The following is a 22,418-nucleotide window of genomic DNA, read 5'->3' on the forward strand; positions in this document are numbered from 1 at the left end:
TAGCCCACCTCTGCTTTTTGAAAATAATTCTCGGCCGGGCGCAGTGGCTCACGCCTATCATCCCAGCACTTTGGGAGTCTGAGGCGGGCGGATCACGAGGTCAGGAGATCGAGACCACGGTGAAACTCCGTCTCTACTAAAAATACAAAAAATTAGCCAGGTGCTGTGGCGGGCACCTGTAGTCCCAGCTACTCGGGAGGCTGAGGCAGGAGAATGGCATCAACCCGGGAGGCGGAGCTTGCAGTGAGCCAAGATTGCGCCACTGCACTCCAGCCTGGACGACAGAGCAAGACTCCAACTCAAAAAAAAAAAAAAAAAAAAAAGAAAAAGAAAATAATTCTCCTCAGCTGTATTTTGGTTCCCCTAGTTTTCCAGCTACTCAGAGTTTAGTATTACAATTATCTTATTATTGTTCTCATCTTGAATCATTTCAATAATCCTTAAAACATATTCAGGTTTTCATAAACTAAAAAAAAAGATAAGCATATATAAAAGAAAACATCTAAAGAAATCTGTATTAGTTGTCTAACATCACATAACAAATTACCCAAGATCTTAGTGACTTAAAACAATAAACACTTATTAATTCACAGTTTCTGTGGGTAAGGAACTCAGTTGTGGCTTACCTGGGGGTTCTGCCTTAGGATCACTTAAGATCTTAGTGACTTAAAACAATAAACACTTATTAATTCACAGTTTCTGTGGGAAAGGAACTCAGTTGTGGCTTACCTGGGTGGTTCTGCCATAGGATCACTTAAGATGTTGCAGTCAGGATGTCAGCCATTTCTGCAGGCATCAGAAGACTTGACTTGGTCTGGAAAATCTGCACATAAGACAGCTCTCTGCCATGGTGCTGGTTGGAAAAGTTCCTCTTTATGAGTTACTTGAGTGTCGGCATGACGTGATGGCTAGCTTCCCCCAGCATGAGCAACCTATGAAAGGGCATGACAGAACCTATAACACTTTTATGATCTAGAATCAGAAATCATACAGCATTATTTTTTCAATTTACTATGGCTTACACAAGTCAGCACTATTCCATGTGAAAGGGAATTACAGAGGGGCATGAATACCAGGAGACTAAGATCATTGGATGCCATATTGGAGGATAGCTATCATAACATTTTTCTCTTGTTCCCACCTATCTATTATATTTGCTAAACAATGTTCCTCTCTGGTTTTGCTGCCAAGCTCCTAAAATATTTGATCTACATCTTTCACGTCCTCTCTTTAAGGATTCTAATTCCTTCTTATCCTTTTTGTCATCTACTTCAGTGCATACAACTCCATGAAACTATTTCCTCAAAGGTTACTAGTTATCTCTTTCTGCTAAATGTATGACGTTTGCCTTTCCTCAGACTTGTCATTCAACATTTTAAAGTGTTTGCTACTATGAACAACCCCCTAGTGACATTTCCTCATTCTTTGGCATCTTTGGCACTTTATGGGCTTCTTCCATCTCTTTGATGCCACTTAGCTTCTCCACTGTGTTTCTATCTATGGAGTGTTCTCTAAGTTCACACCTCCATTTTTCTCCCTATAGTTTGGTCTCATATATCCTCACTGCTTTGGCTGTGACATTTAGTATCTGGCCATTAGTAAATATGTATCTCCTTCCCTACTCAATCATGGTATGTTCTTGCCAGCTGCCTACTAGCATCTTCATTCTCTAATCTCTAAGAAATTCCCACTGATTCTTCCTTCAATACCTCTTTGAAGAATCTGCCTTATCTCTTTCGTTCCAACTACCACTACTGTAGTCCAAGCCCTCTCTATCTCACAACCAGATCAACACAGCACTATTTTAGCTGATATATTTACTGGACTCGAGGGCTGACCTTGCCTTTTCTTTAATAAAACTGTCATACGCTTTTCCACTACATCTTCTTTAAAAATTCCTTTTATCTTTTTATTTTTAATCATGAAAAGATTCATTATCATCTGATTTCAAATCTAAACTCCTTAGACTAGTTTCTGAAACACTTAATGTGTTTTGGAACCACACCATTTGGCTACCATACTTAATTCCTTATTTTCTTTATTTCTTACTCTTATTTACCTTATTTTTCCTTAATGAGGTTAATCTACTCATTGTCCTGCAAATACACAAATTTCCACATTTCCTTTCTTTAATTCTATTCTCCACCACACACACAGAAAAATATGCTCTTATTTATGTCCTCCATTTTATGAATTTTCCAGTCTCAGTTTCCACAATCTCAATGAAATCTTCTCTGACTACTTTGTTTCATACTAAACTGTTTGATTTTTTGGTTCCTGATGCCCTATTAGTCACCCACATCTCTGATTCTTCATATGTTAGTTTTATTTCCACAGCTCAGTTGTCGGCTTCTAAATGCTGGATTTATTTATTTCTTCTCATATTTCTTTTAAAACATCTAAAATAGTCTACAAGTACCATGCTGAGCACATAATAGGCCATGAATAAATATTTATTGGTTAACTAAATGAGGAAAACAACTAGAAAATTCCCATGGCATTTGGCAGAATGACTACAGGCAAAAGGCTCCTTCTCAAAATATATTATCTAAAAGTGCATTTTCCCCATGTGTCAATGAAAAAACAAATGACTTTCTTCTAGCATAGCCAAAGTTAGCTCTTAAAGCATGTGTAAAATCCAAAAGACAGAATTTCTGAAGGCACAACTGTTTAACTAAAAAGACAGATACGCAAAAGAATTGCTTCATTTAACAAGTACAGAGGAAATAGATCACATTCCAAAAGTAATTTGATAATTTTGGCAGCTGGAAAATAATTTTATAAAAATTTAAGCAATAAGGCTGTTGTCTTGGATTTGTTAAGGGAAAGGAAATTTTCATAAAGCCAAAAAAGTAAAAGAAGAACTTACATATGTGAGTATCAGGAAAAGAAATAGTGAGGATAATTGTATCACTGAAGAAACATCTTTTTTTCTAATTCAAGCATATAAAAAATTAATGTGACTATTAACAACTATGACCTCTCTATAGAAAGAAAATATATCCGTACTTCCCCCAGAGTCTCACAGTTGTTGTGTCCTCCTTTGGAAGCAATATTATGTCTTGGAACCTGTTTGAGGCTCTGCAGTCAGTGGAACTGTTCATTACTAGCTGAGTGACCTTAGGCAAGTTACTGAATCTGGAGGAAACTTACCAACCTCACAGAGCTGTTGGGAAAATTAAATGAGATTATGTATCTGAAGGAACCTGGCATGGTGTCTGACTCATGCTGGCCAATACATCTTAGTCTCTTTCCATTCTGATTAGCAGAGATAAAGAGATATTGGGAGACAGAACCACACTAGAGTAGGAAGGAGGAAACTGGGACTATTTTCCAGGTTGAGCTGCTACTTAGATATTATGGCAGGAACAGCAAATTTTCTTACAGATTCCATTTTCTTCACTTAAAAAGATTTTTTAGTTTTAATTTTTGTGGGAACAGGGTGGGTATATATATTTATGGGGTACATGAGATATTTTGATGCAGGCATCCAATGTATAATAATCACATTATGGAGATGGGGTATCCATCTCCTTAAGCTTTTAACCTTTGTGTTACAAAAAACATCCAATTGTAATTGTTTAGCTATTTTTAAATATACAACTAAATTATTTTCATTATAGTCACAGTGTTGTGCTATCAAATACTAGGTATTCATTTTTCTAAATATTTTTTATGCTCATTAAACATCCCCATCTACCCTCAGTGTCCCCACTACTTTTTCAAGTCTCTGGTAAACATCCTTCTACTCTCTATCTCCATATGTTCAATTGTTTTGATTGTTGCATCTCACAAATAAGTGAAAACAGGTGATGTTTGTCATTCTGTGCCTGAGCCTGACTTATTTCACTTAACATAATGGCCTCCAGTCCCATCCATGTTGTTGTAATTGGCAGCATCTCATTTTTTATGGTTAAATAGCACTCCATCATGCATAAGGACCACATTTTCTTTATCCTTTCATCTGTTGATGGTCACTTAGGTTGCTTCCAAATCTTGGCAATTGTAAACAGTGCTATAGCAAACATGGGAGTGCAGATATCTCTTCTACATACTGATTTCCTCTCTTTTGGGTATATACCTGGGAGTGAGATTGCAGGATCACATGGTAGCTCTATTTTTAGTGTTTTGAGGACGCTCCAAACTGTTCTCCATAGTGATTATACTAATTTACATTCCCACCAACAGTGTAAAAGGGTTCCCTTTTCTCCACACCCTTACTAGCATTTGCTATTGCCTGTCTTTTGGATAAAAGCCATTTTTACTGGGATGAGATGAGATCTCATTGTAGTCTTGATTTGCATTTCTCTGATGATTAATAATATGGAACACCTTATCATATGCCTGTTTGTCATTAGCATGTGTTCTTCTGATAAATGTCTATTCAGAGCTCTTGCCCAGTTTTAAAAATCTTTTAAGTTCAGGGGTACATATGCAGGTTTGTTACATAAGTAAACGTGTGCCATGGGGGTTGGCTGTATAGATTATTTTATCACCCAGATATTAAGCCTAGTACCCATTAGTTATTTTTCTGGTCCTCTCCCTCCTCCCACCCTCCACCCACCGATAGGTCCTAGTGTGTGTTGTTCCCCTCTATGTGTCTCAGCATTTAGCTCCCACTTATAAGTGAGAACAGGAGGTATTTGGTTTTCTGTTCCTGCATTAATTTGCTAAGGATAATGGCCTCCAGCTCCATCCATGTCCATACAAATAAGGTGATTTCGTTCTTTCTTATGGCTACAGAGTAGTCCATGGTGTATATATACCACCTTTTCTTTATCCAGTCTATCATTGATGGGCATTTAGGTTGGTTTCATGCCTTTGCTATTGTAAATAGTACTGCAGTGAACATACACATGCATGTGTCTTCTTAACAGAACAATTTATATTCTTTTGGGCATATACCCAGTAATGGGATTGCTGAGTCGAATGTTATTTCTATCTTGAGGTCTTTGAGGAATCACCACACTGTTTTCCATAATGGTTGAACTAACTTACACTCCCACCAACAATGTATAAGCATTTCTTTTTCTCTACAGTCTCACCAGCATCTGTTTTTTGACTTTTAATAATAGCCATTAGACTGGTGTTAGATGGTATTTCATTGTGGTTTTGATTTGCATTTCGCTAATGATCAGTGATGTTTGTGCCCATCCTTCTTGAGGATTTCCAGGTATTTGAAGGGACTTGGGCCCCAAGTCCAATATCACTGTGGCTTTGGCAGACTGAAAGAGATACCACCTTGGTTGTCTTGGATAAGATCTGCAAGAATTCTCTGGGTAACCAGGCAGAGACTCTTGTTCTTTTCCCTTACTTTCTCCCAAACAGAGTTTCTCTCTGTGCTGAGCTGTCTGGAACTAGGGGTGTGGTCATGAAAGCACCATGCTAGTGTTAGCACGGCCACTAGGTCTTGCCTAAGGCCCGCTGTAACAACCACCTGGCTACCACCTTTGTTCACTCAAGGCCCTAGGGCTCTACAATCAGCAAGTGAAGCCAGTGCAGTTTGTGTCCTTCCCTTCAGGATGTTGAGTTCCCCCAGGCGGGTCCAGAGATGCTGCTTGGGAGCCAGGGATTGGAGTCAAGAATCTTAAAAATTTGCCTTATGTTCTATTCTTCTGTGGCTAAGCTGGCATTCAAACCACAATATATATTTCTCCCCATTCTTCCCTCTCCTTTCCATAGGCGAGGAGCCTCCCTGTGAGCACTGCCACCACCACTGGCCTATCATGGGGTTCTGCCAGGTCACCACTGATGTTCACTTAATGCCCAAGGGCTCCTCATTCATCTTGTGGTGAATGCTGCCAGTCCTGAAACTCAGCCTTCAGGGCCATGGGCTCTGCTCTGGCCCCAGGGCAGATCCAGAAAGGCTGTTCAAGAGCCTAGTTCTGGAATCGGGAACCCCACACTTTTGCTTACGGCTCTACCCCACTGTTGTGGAGCTGGTACCTTAGGTGAAAGACAAAGTCCCATTTACTTTTCTCTCTGCTTTTCTCAAACAGAAAGGTCTTTCACTGTAGCCACCACAGCTGGGAATGTGCTGAGTCACGTCTACAGTCAGCATGTTTCAGAGTCCAAGGACCACAGCATACTACTTGGTTATCTCTGCTGGTTATTCAGGCACCAAGGACTCTTTAGTCATTAGGTGATGTATCCTGCCAGGACTGGGTCCTTCCTTCAAGGCAATGGGTTCCCTTTGACTCAACATGTGTCTAGAAATGTCATATGGGAGACAGGGCTTGAAAAGGGGACATCATAACCCTGACTGGTGCCATATCCTACTGTGGCTAAGCTGGTAACCAAGATGCAAGACAACTCCTCTTTACTCTTTGCTCTCCTCACCTTAATTAGAAGAAATAGGACACTTTTGTTGTCACAAGCTGCTCTGCCTAGGGTTGGAGTCGAATTGGCTCAAGCACTTCTTCAGCCACTCCAGCTGGTGTCTCCCTAGGTCATGTGCCCCCTAGTCCTCTGGCTCTGAGCCCAGCCCAGCACTAGGATTTGCCTAGGAATTGCGGTCCTTCTGGACTGCCTTTCAAGTTTACCTAAGACTCCAGAGTACTTTGGCCTATGGTGCCAAAGCTTTCCAAGAAGCTGAAGTTCTGACCGATGGGATGAGTGATTCCCCTTTTGCTAGGTCTGGTCCAAATGCTTTCTCCATGTGCTGGCACTAGCTGAGTCCAGGCTGGCTTTTCTCTCTGCTATGACAGAGTAGCAATGAGTTCAGTGTATGCCTCCCAGTCACTGTGCTCTCCCTACCCTAAATGCACAGGCTCTCTGCACTACAGAGCCATTGCCAGGAAATTGGGAAGGGGTGATGTCGCTGATTCAAGACTGTCTCTCCAACCCTTCTCTATGCCTCTTTCAATGATACAAAGTTAAAACCAAGTACTATGATTGCTCACCTGAGTTTTGGTACCTGTGATGGTTCTTTTCTGTATCCAGTTGTTAAAATTTGGTGTTTCTGCAGGGAATATGAATGGTGTAGGCTTCTATTCTGCCATCTTGCTCCATCCCTCCTCTTCTTATAGAAGCCCCTGAGTTTTAATGGGTAGCCAAATAAAGATATATTTCTTTTGGCTTCCTGGAGTTTCTAACTGATTTATTTGCAATGCCGTTTGGTAGACCAGATACTACTTTACTACCATTCACCACTAACTTCAGTCCTACGCTCAGCCAAATGACAACATTCATGACTCTTTTTTGATACCTATGGGCTCTTCTGTGTATGACCACTGGACCAGATGATCTCTAAGAAATCTTCCAGCAATCAGTGGTTCTGGGAAAACACATGGGATGATGTTCATTTCTCTTAGTCGATATTGCAATTACTTAGTGGGTTTTCTCTTTTTCTCAAAATTTAACAGGAAATTTGAAATGATCTTGGTTTTAAAATTCTCAGATGTCTTCTGCATGTTAAACCTATCAAATATTTATTTAGGAGACGGATGGCATATTGTGGTTGCTGTAACAAAATACCATAAACCTGATGGCTTAAAACGATAGATTTTTTTATTCTTTCACAGCTCTGGAGGCCAAAAGTCCAAATTCCATGTGTCAGCAGGGCCACAAAGACTCTAGGGGAGAATCATTCCTTTCCTCCTCCAGTTTCTGGTGGCTCCAGGCCTTAGTGGGTTGGTGGTTGCATCACTTCAATACTTGTTTACATCTTCATATGGCCTTATCTATATCTTTGTCTGCTGTCTCTTACCAGGACACTTGTCATTAGATCTTGGTCTCATCTCAAGAACTTTAGTCCCATCTGCAAATATTTTATTTGTAAATAATATCACATCCACAAGTTCTGGGGATTAGGACTTGGATATATGTTTTGGGGAGTCACCATTGAACTCACTACAGATGGCTACATAAACAATCACTTATAAAATACATGCAGTAGAGCTATCTCATACTCTAACAAGGAAATAATCATATTTCCCTTTTTAACTATTTACAAAAAAATGAAAAATTTGTTTTAAGATATTTTCATATGAATTGTGAAGCTACACATTTAAATAGCAATCTTTTCAATCTATCAATATCTTCTACATTATCATAGCATTTTCATTATTGTGAATTTTGTTCTAATTTTGGAATTTACTACTTCTTAAATAGATAACAATTATTTAGAAAGAAGTCTTGGAAAAACCAATTTTTTTCTTCTGTTTAAAGAAACAAGTACACATAAATACAATCTTAAAATTCAACATAAAAGTATGGAGAAAAAAATTATTCTCCTTCAATATTCCTTTCTTAATCCCTCTCTCTTCCTTAGACAAATAACAGTTTAAAATTTCTTTCCGAAACTTTTGGGCATACATAAAGGACAGTTGTTTGTGGGTTTTTTTGTTTATTATAAATGAGATTATGGTCAGTGAATTGCATTTTCTCTTTACCAATACCTCTTGAAGATATCTGTCTACATGGACATCTATACTATTATTTTTGTAACTGCACAATATTGATAGAAATAATGCGCCATAATTTGTTGATGAACATCTAATTTACTTTCAAATTTTTTATATCACAAAAATGTTTTAATGTCATATATCTTTAAGAACGTGCAAATATTTCTATAGGATAGATATTTAGAGGTAAAATTCTTTGGTCAAAGTTATGCACATGTCCACTTTGATTTATCCTGCTCATTTGTCTTGCAAAATGCTCTGTGAAAGGGACAATTATGGCTAAAGAATAATCCTTATGTGGTCAATTAACCAGCTATATTCTTCTATAATAGCTGGACAGATCATGTGGGCAAAAGGATATACATGTATATGTTTATATGCATCTGTATATTTTTATGTACATATGTGTGTGTGTGTGTGTGTGTGTGTGTATAATATACTGTTTGTTTTTTCTATCTAGGTGTTATAGAAAGCCACTTAGCATCAGCTGGATAAATTAGAAAAAAAGTCACTTATGCTAATATCCCCCCATCCACCCAAATAGGCTAAGCATCATACACTCAAATAAGGAAAAAGAGAGCCATTTTTTTCAGTGTAGTAAACAAACCACAATAAAAAAAAAAAAACCTAAAAGAAAAAAGTAGCATCTGTTCTGCTTTATGGACCAGTGCCATGGTCCCAAGGCAGAACACTCTCTCAGTTCAAGAATTCGCCCTGAGAATGGAGGCAGCTCCAAAATATCTAATGGAGGCATCTTAAATCAACACAAGAGCTCAATTCAACAATGCCATCACAACTCTGTACTTTTTTCCCAACAGTTCTAGCAGAAGAAAACTTGCTAAAAGTTATATGTAACTTGAATTCCAAGGTGATCTGAATAAAATGAGTGCAGCACCACAAATTATGTATTTAGATGCTTTTCAGCTAATCTAGGAAAGAAAGAATATCTTTTCCTCAGGCAAAAGGTTAAACTGGAGTGACAGTAGCATAAAAAAACTTATTGTGGTGCCTCAATAGCTGTCACTCCTGACTTCGGCACTCAGCATAATTATATCAACATAGTAATAAAAATAATTCCAAAGTATTTGAACATGGTATGTCCTTAAAACAGGTTGACAACTAAGGATGCACATATTTTGAAGGTAGCAGACTTACAGCTCTTTAAAATGCAGCAGGAAACTGCATTTCTAAAATACAGGAATACATAGAATTATTTATCAAGTCATTATAGAATATTTACAGCCTTAGAAAATTTATCATGTTCCATTAAGTAGAGTTTGCTTCCATCAAGCTATTCCTTATGCAGAGCTTCAAATACCCTTCATCTAACCTCACTGAAGTCCAGTGTACACTTTCTGCCTCTGAAATATCTCCACATATATCCTTATCACATATTTGGCAAAATAGGGGGTCAAGCAATAAAAACCTGATAGGTTGTATTGCATGGAATTGCTTTCTGATCAAAATCTAAGATGCATAAAATGTTGGGTTGTTGCAGAGTTTGTTGTATTTACAACAAAGCAGAAAAGTTAGTCAATTTAAACATATGAAATCGGCTGCGCTAAAGATTAGAACACCCTGGGGATCAGAGACACAGTTCAGGATGGCTGAGCACTGACAGTGTGACATATTTCAGGACAAAAGGATTTTGTACTGGGGGAATGATTCCATTCTACCGACGAGCAAATGGAGCAAATGATTATTTTTGCATTCTTTATGTGTTATTCTTTGACTTCTCTTTTCACCATTTGGAGATCAAACTGTTTTTGGCTGTTCTGTGACTTTTTTAACCAACGATCGGATACCTTTTTCTCTGCTTGTTTTCACTTGTTTTTTATTTATTTATTTTGAGATATAATTAACACTCAGTAGTATGCACAGCCAGGCACAGTGGCTCATGCCTATAATCCCAGCCCTTTGGTAGGCCGAGGTGGGTGGATCACTTCAGGTCAGGAGTTCGAGACCAGCCTGGCCAACACGGTGAAACCCCATCTCTACTAAAAATCCAAAAACTAATAATAATTAGCTAGGCACGGGGCATGTGCCTGTAATCCCAGCTACTCCAGAGGCTGAGGCAGGAGAATCACTAGAACCTGGGAGGCAGAGGTTGCAGTGAGCCGAGATCACGCCATTGCACTCCAGTCTGGGCAACAGAGCAAGACTCTATCCCAAAAAAAAAAAACAAAAACAGTATGCACAAACTTCAACTGTTCAGTATGATGAGCTTTAATAATTATATACAGCTATGTAACCAACACTGAAAAAATACATTTAAAAAAATCCCTTGTGCTCTGTTCCAGTCGATTTCTGTCCCCATCCCCACATTAACTATGAGATTTCTATCAGCATAGATTACTTTTCCCTGTATTCAGATTTCATACAAATGAAATCCTACAGTATATGCTTTTTATCACTTAATATAATGTTGTTGGTTATCCTTTCTATCACTTAATATAACGCTGTTGGTTATCCTCCATGTTGTTCTGTATATCAATAGTTTTAACTGCTAAATAGTGGTCAATTGTATGAATATACTACAATCTATCTATCAAGTCTCCCATTGTTTGATATCTGGGTTTGTTCTAGTTTTTGTTATTATAAATCTGGTTGCTATATCTTTTTACATGTCACGTTAATACCTATGAGTAGTATTGCTAGGTCATAGGGACTGCCAGTTTTCCTAAGCATTTTTATCACTTTACACTCCACCAGCAACATATGAGAGGTTCTTCACTCCACATTCTCACCAAAATAAGATGTTTTCAGTTTTTTTTTTAAATTTCAGCCACTCCTGTGGATGTTTAGTATAGCATCTCATTGTTGCTTTAGTTTGCAGAGCCTTATATCTAGTAATGTTAAAGACTTTTTAAATGTATTTATTGTTCATTCATAGATTTTCTTTTGTGAAGTGTTTAAGTCTATTGCACATATTTCAATTGGGTTGTCTTTTTGTAGTTGATTGGTAGGAAATTTTTATCTATTCTGTATACAAGTCTGTTGTCAGAAATTCTTTGAATTTTATTTATCATTTTGAGATTTACTTATTAATTTTTAATGGAGTCTTTTGATGAGCAGAATTTTAAATTTAGCCTAATTTTAGTAATTAACTTATTGTCTCTTATGGTTGATGCTTTTTGTGTTCTATCAAATACATCTTTGCCTAACCTGAGGTCATGAAGATATGTTTCTTTTTTCTTCTAGAAGCTTTATAAGTGTCATTTTATGTTTAGGTCTGGGATCCATTTTGAATTAATTTTTGTATATGGAATAAGAGTGAAATTACATTTTCTTCCATATAGATATCTAGTTGTTCCAGCAACATTTGTTGAAAAGACTTTGGCCAAAGAATTGCTTTGGCACTTCTTTGAAAATCACTTGACTACATATTTGAAGTTGAAAATCACTTTACTGAGTATTTGTGGTTTGTTTGTGTTCTATTAATTTATTTGCCTATGCTTATGCCAATACCACAGTTCCCTGATTACTATACGTTTATAGTAAATTTTGAAGTCAGGTAGTCTTAAGTCCTCCAATTTTGTTCTTTTTCAATATAGGTTTTGCAATTCTATTTTCTTTTCATTACCATATATAATTTAGAACTATCTTGTCTATTTCTTCAGAATAGCCTGTTGACATTTTGATAGAGATTGCATTGAGTCTATCTATCAGTTTAGGAAGCCTAGACATTTTAACAATGTTGCATTTTCCTATCGAGGAACATGCTATACTTCTCCATTTATTTAGATCTTTAATTTCTCTCCCAAATATTTTATAATTTTCAGTGTAGAGGTGTTACATATCTTTTATTAGATTTACTCTTTCTTCTCCAAGGTTTTTTGATGCTATTACATATTTTTAACTGCTATTTTCCAACTGGTGGTGGGATGGCAATTTGCTCTATGGCTGGGGCCCTTGTAATTCCAATCTATTACAAGAGCCCACACACGGTTATTAAACATGCATTAGCAGGTCAGCTGGTTTCTGCCTATCCTGTCTGTGATTAATTCTTCTAGAAAGGAGAACAGTGATAAATCTCTTCTATCCTATAAAGAGTTTCTCACTCTCTGATGTCTTGTTCATTTGGGTTTCTTTATGTGCTCAGCTTTATGATGTTTTTTAAAATATCATTTTTATACCTTATCTGGTTTGTTTGGGTTATTAATTTAAGACTAACGGTCTTTTGTGACTTTTTACATCCAAACTAGAAATCAATCAATTATGTGGTTTTTTAAAATAGTTTTAAGGTAACCTTCCTCTTTACTATGTCTGAAAGTACAAAAAGGAAATGAATCAAATAGTGGTCAGGACAACAAAATCATAAAGAAATCTGTTGACTTATGGCTTGCTATGTGCTAGGTCCTAGATTTACAAGTATCACCAAATTCAGTTCTTAGAACAACCCTATGAGGGAGGCATGACAGTCATTATCCCCATTTCACAGCTGAGTAAGCTGAAATACAGAGTACATAACTAGTTTGTCTGATGAAACACAGCTCTTAAATGAAAAAACTGGGATTTAAACACAAGTAGTATGGGTTTCGAGCCTACATTCTCACCACCTTCTCTTCAATTTCCCTCTAACAAATCTTATCATTTCTACATTTACCCTCATTTCCCAAGTACGATAGCTATCTGGAATTTTTAACTGTAAGTGCTCATTTCTTTATTGAGTTGTGCCGCTTCTGCAATTTTCATCTGCAATTTTCATCTATACAATCTCTTACACTCACTTAGTATTTTTATATAATAGATACAACTTATTAAGTGCTCATATAAAAGATATTGTGTGTTATTAACAGTAGTTTTGTATATATTATTCACAAATATCACAAAAATTCTTAAAGATAGATGATGTTGTTCTCACTCTATTTGGGGGTCCAAATTAAGTTCCAAAGCAAGCAATTGTCTTAATTCACATAAAAATTAGTCAAAGGGTGAAATTGGAATCTGACCAATCTTGGGTTTAAAGCCCATGTTCCCTTTACCACTCCACACAGCCTCTCTCTCATGAATGACTCTCCGAGTCTTCTGAACTCATCGTCACAACTCCCTTTCCTCATATTTTATTAGGTACTCTAACTGGGTATTTATTTAAATGCTACTTCTTTGTGTATCATTACTTTATTTTTGCTTCTGCTATTTTAAATTCATTTGTTTGAAGTTAAGGCCTCAATGTCTACTGGAGCCTCCTTTGGAGGATATTCTTAAAACTGAAATTTAGATTAAAAAATATAAATGACGAGTTAATGGGTGCAGCACACCAATATGGCACATGTATACATATGTAACTAACCTGCACGTTGTGCCCATGTACCCTAAAACTTAAAGTATAATAAAAAATATGTATATATAAGGAAATAATCATTAATGGAAATGAGTGAAAGAAGTCAACCAAGCAGACTTTCAGATGTGTACAGTAGATTGGGGTCTGGGGCCCATACTATGGGCAGGACCTGGTTCTCAGCTACTAGAGTTAGGAGAAATAATGCAGAATCTCTCTGCTCATTCTCATAAAGGTATGAAATTACATATGATTCCACATTACCATTATTACCATTTTTTTTCAAACAACCCCTCATACCAACTTTATCTACTTCAAAATACAATACACAATTAATGTCCATTTTAACATGGATTCAACAGAATGAAAGGAGATCAAAAAGGCTCCCAAACTCCTCAGGGCTGACTCTGATACTTGCACTCCACCACCATTACTGCCAGTAAAACTTGTCCAATTCTAGCCTCATATATCAAAAATCTCATGCATAGCTTCCACATGCATATAGTTTCTTGAATCATTTAGATAAAAGAAGAAAAACTCTATAATAAGGGCTTGCAATCGGAGAGACTGTCACTTGATCTACTAATACTCAATTTATGGTAGGCCCTATGCAAAAATCTATAATTCGTAATTTTGCACCTATTTCTGAAATTTAATGGCACTTAACAAGATTTAAAAATACTGAACGCTTATCTTCATTCTCAGTACAGAAACCCTTCAGAGAAAAAATTCTGCTACTCTCTTAGGACTGAATCTCATTTCAGACACATGTTCCTTTCTATAGCTCAGGTGTAATTATTTAAATGTCATTAAATCCTTCAAATCTGTTTGATAAAGTAATTGAAATTAATTCATGTAATTTATTTTACTTTCAATGATAGAAACGTGTGCACATAAATGTCACTGCACTGCCAAACCCAGTGGATCGCAACTGAGTTTTCTTTCTGAGGATTTCTAGTCAGCAGGGATTTTAACTTCCAAATGCAAAAATTTCTCTCTTGCAGCACATAAGTGGGCTGAGGCACTAATTAGCAAGTTTCATTAGTAAGAAATTCTCTCATTCAGGCCTATGACCAAAGAGATGAAGCTAGGACGTTATTGAGACCAAGTTCCTGCTCTAAAGCGATCCCTGTAATACTATCACAAATTATAATAGTGCTTTTTATTTTTTTCTTTTATTATACTTTAAGTTTTAGGGTACATGTGCACAATGTGCAGGTTAGTTACATATGTATATATGTGCCATGTCAGTGTGCTGCACCCAGTAACTCGTCATTTAACATTAGGTATATCTCCTAATGTTATCCCTCCCCCATCCCCCCTGCCCCCACCCCACAATAGGCCCCGCTGTGTGATGTTCCCCTTCCTGTGTCCATGTGTTCTCATTGTTCTATTCCCACCTATGAGTGAGAACATGCGGTGTTTGGTTTTATGTCCTTGTGATAGTTTGCAGAGAATGATGGTTTCCAGCTTCATCCATGTCCCTACAAAGGACATGAACTCATCCTTTTTTATAGCTGCATAGTATTCCATGGTGTATATGTGCCACATTTTCTTTTTTTTTAGGTTTACTTTTATTATTATTATTATTATTATTATCATTATTATTATACTTTAAGTTTTAGGGTACATGTGCACAATGTGCAGGTTAGTTACATATGTATACATGTGCCATACTGGTGCGCTGCACCCACTAACTCGTCATCTAGCATTAGATATATCTCCCAGTGCTATCCCTCCCCCCTCCCCCCACCCCACAACAGTCCCCAGAGTGTGATGTTCCCCTTCCTGTGTCCATGTGTTCTCATTGTTCAATTCCCACCTATAAGTGAGAATATGTGTTGTTTGGTTTTTTGTTCTTGCAATAGTTTACTGAGAATGATGATTTCCAATTTCATCCATGTCCCTACAAAGGACATGAACTCATCATTTTTTATGGCTGCATAGTATTCCATGGTGTATATATGCCACATTTTCTTAATCCAGTCTATCATTCTTGGACACTTGGGTTGGTTCCAAGTATTTGCTATTGTGAATAATGCCACAATAAACATACATGTGCATGTGTCTTTATAGCAGCATGATTTATAGTCCTTTGGGTATATACCCAGTAATGGGATGGCTGGGTCAAATGGTATTTCTAGTTCTAGATCCCTGAGGAATCGCCACACTGACTTCCACAATGGTTGAACTAGTTTACAGTCCCACCAACAATGTAAAAGTGCTCCTATTTCTCCACATCCTCTCCAGCACCTGTTGTTTCCTGACATTTAATGATTGCCATTCTAACTGGTGTGAGATGATATCTCATTGTGGTTTTGATTTGCGTTTCTCTGATGGCCAGTGATGGTGAGCATTTTTTCATGTGTTTTTTGGCTGCATAAATGTCTTCTTTTGAGAAGTGTCTGTTCATGTACTTTGCCCACTTTTTGATGGGGTTGTTTTTTTCTTGTAAATTTGTTTGAGTTCATCGTAGATTCTGGATATTAGCCCTTTGTCAGATGAGTAGGTTGCAAAAATTTTCTCCCATTTTGTAGGTTGCCTGTTCACTCTGATGGCAGTTTCTTTTGCTGTGCAGAAGCTCTTTAGTTTAATTAGATCCCATTTGTCAATTTTGGCTTTTGTTGCCATTGCTTTTGGTGTTTTAGACATGAAGTCCTTGCCCATGCCTATGTCCTGAATGGTAATGCCTAGGTTTTCTTCTAGGGTTTTTATGGTTTTAGGTCTAACGTTTAATTCTTTAATACATCTTGAATTGATTTTTGTATAAGGTGTAAGGAAGGGATCCAGTTTCAGCTTTCTACATATGGCTAGCCAGTTTTCCCAGCACCATTTATTAAATAGGGAATCCTTTCCCCATTGCTTCTTTTTCTCAGGTTTGTCAAAGATCAGATAGTTGTAGATATGCGGTGTTATTTCTGAGGGCTCTGTTCTGTTCCATTGATCTATATCTCTGTTTTGGTACCAGTACCATGCTGTTTTGGTTACTGTAGCCTTGTACTGTAGTTTGAAGTCAGGTAGTGTGATGCCTCCAGCTTTGTTCTTTTGGCCTAGGATTGACTTGGTGATGTGGGTTCTTTTTTGGTTCCATATGAACTTTAAAGTAGTTTTTTCCAATTCTGTGAAGAAAGGCATTGGTAGCTTGATGGGGATGGCATTGAATCTATAAATTACCTTGGGCAGTAGGGCCATTTTCATGATATTGATTCTTCCTACACATGAGCATGGAATGTTTTTCCATTTGTTTGTATCCTCTTTTATTTTCCTGAGCAGTGTTTTGTAGTTCTCCTGGAAGAGGTCCTTCACATCCCTTGTAAGCTAGGTATTTTATTCTCTTTGAAGCAATTGTGAATGGGAGTTCACTCATGATTTGGCTCTCTGTTTCTCTGTTGTTGGTGTATAAGAATGGTTGTGATTTTCGTACATTGATTTTGTATCCTGAGACTGCTGAATTTGCTTATCAGCTTAAGGAGATTTTGGGCTGAGACAATGGGGTTTTCTAGGTATACAATCATGTCGTCTGCAAACAGGGACAATTTGACTTCCTCTTTTCCTAATTGAATACACTTTATTTCCTTCTCCTGCCTAATTGTCCTGGTCAGAACTTCCAACACTATGTTGAATAGGAGTGGTGAGAGAGGGCATCCCTGTCTTGTGCCCGTTTTCAGAGGGAATGCTTCCAGTTTTTGCCCATTCAGTATGATATTGGCTGTGGGTTTGTCATAGATAGCTCTTATTATTTTGAAATACGTCCCATCAATACCTAATTTATTGAGAGTTTTTAGCATGAAGGGTTGTTGAATTTTGTCAAAGGCCTTTTCTGCATCTATTGAGATAATCATGTGGTTTTTGTCTTTGGTTCTGTTTATATGCTGGATTACATTTATTGATTTGCATATTTTGAACCAGCCTTGCATCCCAGGGATGAAGCCCACTTGATCATAGTGGATAAGCTTTTTGATGTGCTGCTGGATTCGGTTTGCCAGTATTTTATTGAGGATTTTTGCATCAATGTTCATCAAGGATATTGGTCTAAAATTCTCTTTTTTGGTTGTGTCTCTGCCCGGCTTTGGTATCAGGATGATGCTGGCCTCATAAAATGAGTTAGGGAGGATTCCCTCTTTTTCTGTTGATTGGAATAGTTTCAGAAGGAATGGTACCAGTTCCTCCTTGTACCTCTGGTAGAATTCGGCTGTGAATCCATCTGGTCCTGGACTCTTTTTGGTTGGTAAGCTATTGATTATTGCCACAATTTCAGAGCCTGTTATTGGTCTATTCAGAGATTCAACTTCTTCCTGGTTTAGTCTTGGGAGAGTGTATGTGTCGAGGAATGTATCCATTTCTTCTAGATTTTCTAGTTTGTTTGCATAGAGGTGTTTGTAGTATTCTCTGATGGTAGTTTGTATTTCTGTGGGATCAGTGGTGATATCCCCTTTATCATTTTTTATTGTGTCTATTTGATTCTTCCCTCTTTTCTTCGTTATTGGTCTTGCTAGCGGTCTATCAATTTTGTTGATCCTTTCAAAAAACCAGCTCCTGGATTCATTGATTTTTTGAAGGGTTTTTTGTGTCTCTATTTCCTTCAGTTCTGCTCTGATTTTAGTTGTTTCTTGCCTTCTGCTAGCTTTTGAATGTGTTTGCTCTTGCTTTTCTAGTTTTTTTAATTGTGATGTTAGGCTGTCAATTTTACATCTTTCCTGCTTTCTCTTGTGGGCATTTAGTGCTATAAATTTCCCTCTACACACTGCTTTGAATGCGTCCCACAGGTTCTGGTATGTTGTGTCTTTGTTCTCATTGGTTTCAAAGAACATCTTTATTTCTGCCTTCATTTCGTTATGTACCCAGTAGTCATTCAGGAGCAGGTTGTTCAGTTTCCATGTAGTTGAGCGGTTTTGAGTGAGATTCTTAATCCTGAGTTCTAGTTTGATTGCACTGTGGTCTGAGAGATAGTTTGTTATAATTTCTGTTCTTTTACATTTGCTGAGGAGAGCTTTACTTCCAACTATGTGGTCAATTTTGGAATAGGTGTGGTGTGGTGCTGAAAAAAATGTATATTCTGTTGATTTGGGGTAGAGAGTTCTGTAGATGTCTATTAGGTCCGCTTGGTACAGAGCTGAGTTCAATTCCTGGGTATCCTTGTTGACTTTCTGTCTCGTTGATCTGTCTAATGTTGACAGTGGGATGTTAAAGTCTCCCATTATTAATGTGTGGGAGTCTAAGTCTCTTTGTAGGTCACTTAGGACTTGCCTTATGAATCTGGGTGCTCCTGTATTGGGTGCATATATATTTAGGATAGTTAGCTCTTCTTGTTGAATTGATCCCTTTACCATTATGTAATGGCCTTCTTTGTCTCTTTTGATCTTTGTTGGTTTAAAGTCTGTTTTATCAGAGACTAGGATTGCAACCCCTGCCTTTTTTTGTTCTCCATTTGCTTGGTAGATCTTCCTCCATCTTTTTATTTTGAGCCTATGTGTGTCTCTGCACGTGAGATGGGTTTCCTGAATACAGCACACTGATGGGTCTTGACTCTTTATCCAATTTGCCAGTCTGTGTCTTCTAATTGGAGCATTTAGTCCGTTTACATTTAAAGTTAATATTGTTATGTGTGAATTTGATCCTATCATTATGATGTTAGCTGGTTATTTTGCTCGTTAGTTGATGCAGTTTCTTCCTAGTCTGGATGGTCTTTACATTTTGGCATGATTTTGCAGTGGCTGGTACCGGTTGTTCCTTTCCATGTTTTGCACTTCCTTCAGGAGCTCTTTTAGGGCAGGCCTGGTGGTGACAAAATCTCTCAGCATTTGCTTGTCTGTAAAGGATTTTATTTCTCCTTCACTTATGAAGCTTAGTTTGGCTGGATATGAAATTCTGGGTTGAAAATTCTTTTCTTTAAGAATGTTGAATTTTGGCCCCCACTCTCTTCTGGCTTGTAGAGTTTCTGCCGAGAGATCAGCTGTTAGTCTGATGGGCTTCCCTTTGAGGGTAACCCGACCTTTCTCTCTGGCTGCCCTTAACATTTTTTCCTTCATTTCAACTTTGGTGAATCTGACAATTATGTGTCTTGGAGTTGCTCTTCTCGAGGAGTATCTTTGTGGTGTTCTCTGTATTTCCTGAATCTGAATGTTGGCCTACCTTGCTAGATTGGGGAAGTTCTCCTGGATATATCCTGCAGAGTGTTTTCCAACTTGGTTCCATTCTCCCCATCACTTTCAGGTACACCAATCAGACGTAGATTTGGTCTTTTCACATAGTCCCATATTTCTTGGAGGCTTTGTTCATTTCTTTTTATTCTTTTTTCTCCAAACTTCCCTTCTCACTTCATTTCATTCATTTCATCCTCCATAGCTGATACCCTTTGTTCTAGTTGATCGCATCAGCTCCTAAGGCTTCTGCATTCTTCACATAGTTCTCGAGCCTTGGTTTTCAGCTCCATCAGCTCCTTTAAGCGCTTCTCTGTATTGGTTATTCTAGTTATACATTCTTCTAAATTTTTTCAAAGTTTTCAACTTCTTTGCTTTTGGTTTGAATGTCCTCCCGTAGCTCGGAGTAATTTGATCGTCTGAAGCCTTCTTCTCTCAGCTTGTCAAAGTCGTTCTCCGTCCAGCTTTGTTCCGTTGCTAGTGAGGAACTGTGTTCCTTTGGAGGAGGAGAGGCGCTCTGCTTTTTAGAGTTTCCAGTTTTTCTGCTCTGTTTTTTCCCCATCTTTGTGGTTTTATCTACTTTTGGTCTTTGATGATGGTGATGTACAGATGGGTTTTTGGTGTGGATGTCCTTTCTGTTTGTTAGTTTTCCTTCTAACAGACAGGACCCTCAGCTGCAGGTCTGTCGGAGTACCCGCCTTGTGAGGTGTCAGTATGCCCCTGCTGGGGGGTGCCTCCCAGTTAGGCTGCTCAGGGGTCAGGGGTCAGGGGTCAGGGACCCACTTGAGGAGGCAGTCTGCCCGTTCTCAGATCTCCAGCTGCGTGCTGGGAGAACCACTGCTCTCTTCAAAGCTCAGATGGAAATGCAGAAATCACCCATCTTCTGAGTCGCTCACGCTAGGAGCTGTAGACCAGAGCTGTTCCTATTCGGCCATCTTGGCTCCTTCCCCTGCCACATTTTCTTAATCCAGTCTATCGTTGTTGGACATTTATCTTGGTTCCAAGTCTTTGCTATTGGGAATAGTGACACAATAAACATACGTGTGCATGTGTCTTATAGCAGCATGATTTATAATCCTTTGGGTATATACCCAGTAATGGGATGGCTCGGTCAAATGGTATTTCTAGTTCTAGATCACTGAGGAATCACCACACTGACTTCCACAATGGTTGAACTAGTTTACAGTCCCACCAACAGTGTAAAATTGTCCCTATTTCTCCACATCCTCTCCAGCACCTGTTGTTTCCTGACTTTTTAATGATCGCCATTCTAACTCGTGTGAGATGGTATCTCATTGTGGTTTTGATTTGCATCTGACAAAAGGCTAATATCCAGAATCTACAATGAACTCAAACAAATTTACAAGAAAAAAACAAACAACCCCATCAAAAAGTGGGCGAAGGATATGAATAGACACTTCTCAAAAGAAGACATTTATGCAGCCAAAAGACACATGAAAAAATGCTCATCACCACTGGACAAGCGCTTTTGAAAAACCAGGAAAGACCATAGCAGCAAATAGAATCCCTTTAGAAACTGATTTTGGCATGCCTGGAACAGATGCTACAATCACTTCTAGTCAGTAAGCACTCATGAACAACAAAACTGCTACAGGCAAAATGAGCTAATATCTGACCCAAACTCATGTTCACAAAGTCGCTTCAAGATCTCACTTCATACATTTCCCTACATATTTTTTCAGGTGAAACTACAACCTGCCTTTTCTTGAGTAACCCGCCCTTTTGTCCGCTTACAAAGCACAACAGTGTAGATAGTGTTTGGCTGGCCTGTTAGAAAGTTGATTTGTCATTGCCATTTGTCTAACGCATGCTTGTTACAGAACAAGGAATATGCTTTCAAATAAGGGTATGAAATGTGGTTTGATGAAACACAGTGAGTGAAGGAAAACTTAGTCCTTGCCTGTGTACTTGTAACATACTAGTCAGTCTGGTGTGGAATATAATAATCTACAACTGATCTGAGCAAATATTTCTCTCTGATTAGAGGACAGTGATGATAGAATATTCCAGCAAAGTTAAAAAGGAAGAATGTGGTTTCTCCCTATGGTGTAATCCCAGGAGGAGTTCACTGTTCTTCCTATTTCAGAATTGCTGACAGTTGAAAATTATCTTCAGTTACTTTATTATCTGTTTAGATTTGAAGATAAATGAATCAAACATCTAATTTAATGCAGTCATTTAATTCTACTGGTTACCTATTCTCTTCTATACAATTGAGTTTTGTATTTCATATCAAAGGGTATCTTTATAGCAGATTAATATCTAAACCACTAGAAAAAACCTTTATAAGTGAAGATGTTTATATGCTCATACATATTTAAAAAATACTTGCATTCTGTGAAAACTACAAATGTCAAGTGACTTACAGACAACAGGAAATCATATTGAATTTGTGATTAACATTATAGTAATAACTACATCGCACAAATACACAGATGTATATTTGTTGCCATGATAAAAGTTTCCTTAAATTATGTGATTTGTAACATATCTTAGCACAAGTCATATTTTCCTTGGTGACCCATGTTACCTCTAAAATATCCACTGGTAAATATATGGACAGAATGTTTA

The 22,418-nt window shown here is 37.8% G+C and overlaps 1 long non-coding RNA gene across 1 annotated transcript in view, besides 1 other annotated feature; it reads right to left on the minus strand.

Moving 5' to 3' along the window:
- Positions 1–729: 729 nt before the first annotated feature.
- The window catches only part of STEAP2-AS1 (STEAP2 antisense RNA 1), a 329,283-nt gene continuing 307,594 nt past the window's right edge, over positions 730–22,418 (minus strand). The window contains exon 3 of the long non-coding RNA NR_110029.2: positions 730–932. This is a non-coding gene — a long non-coding RNA (STEAP2 antisense RNA 1). The remainder of the gene's footprint in view (positions 933–22,418) is intronic.
- Positions 5,373–6,572: an enhancer, noted in NCBI's record as "MED14-independent group 3 enhancer chr7:89516310-89517509 (GRCh37/hg19 assembly coordinates)". NCBI's record gives its function as "activates an origin of replication core promoter dependent on BRD2, BRD4, P300/CBP and CDK7 cofactors, and independent of MED14, by STARR-seq in HCT116 cells {active_cell/tissue: HCT116}" and the evidence as "EXISTENCE:reporter gene assay evidence [ECO:0000049][PMID:35650434]".

This window comes from Homo sapiens, chromosome 7 (assembly GCF_000001405.40).
Source record: "Homo sapiens chromosome 7, GRCh38.p14 Primary Assembly".
In the NCBI taxonomy this organism is placed as follows: domain Eukaryota; kingdom Metazoa; phylum Chordata; class Mammalia; order Primates; family Hominidae; genus Homo; species Homo sapiens.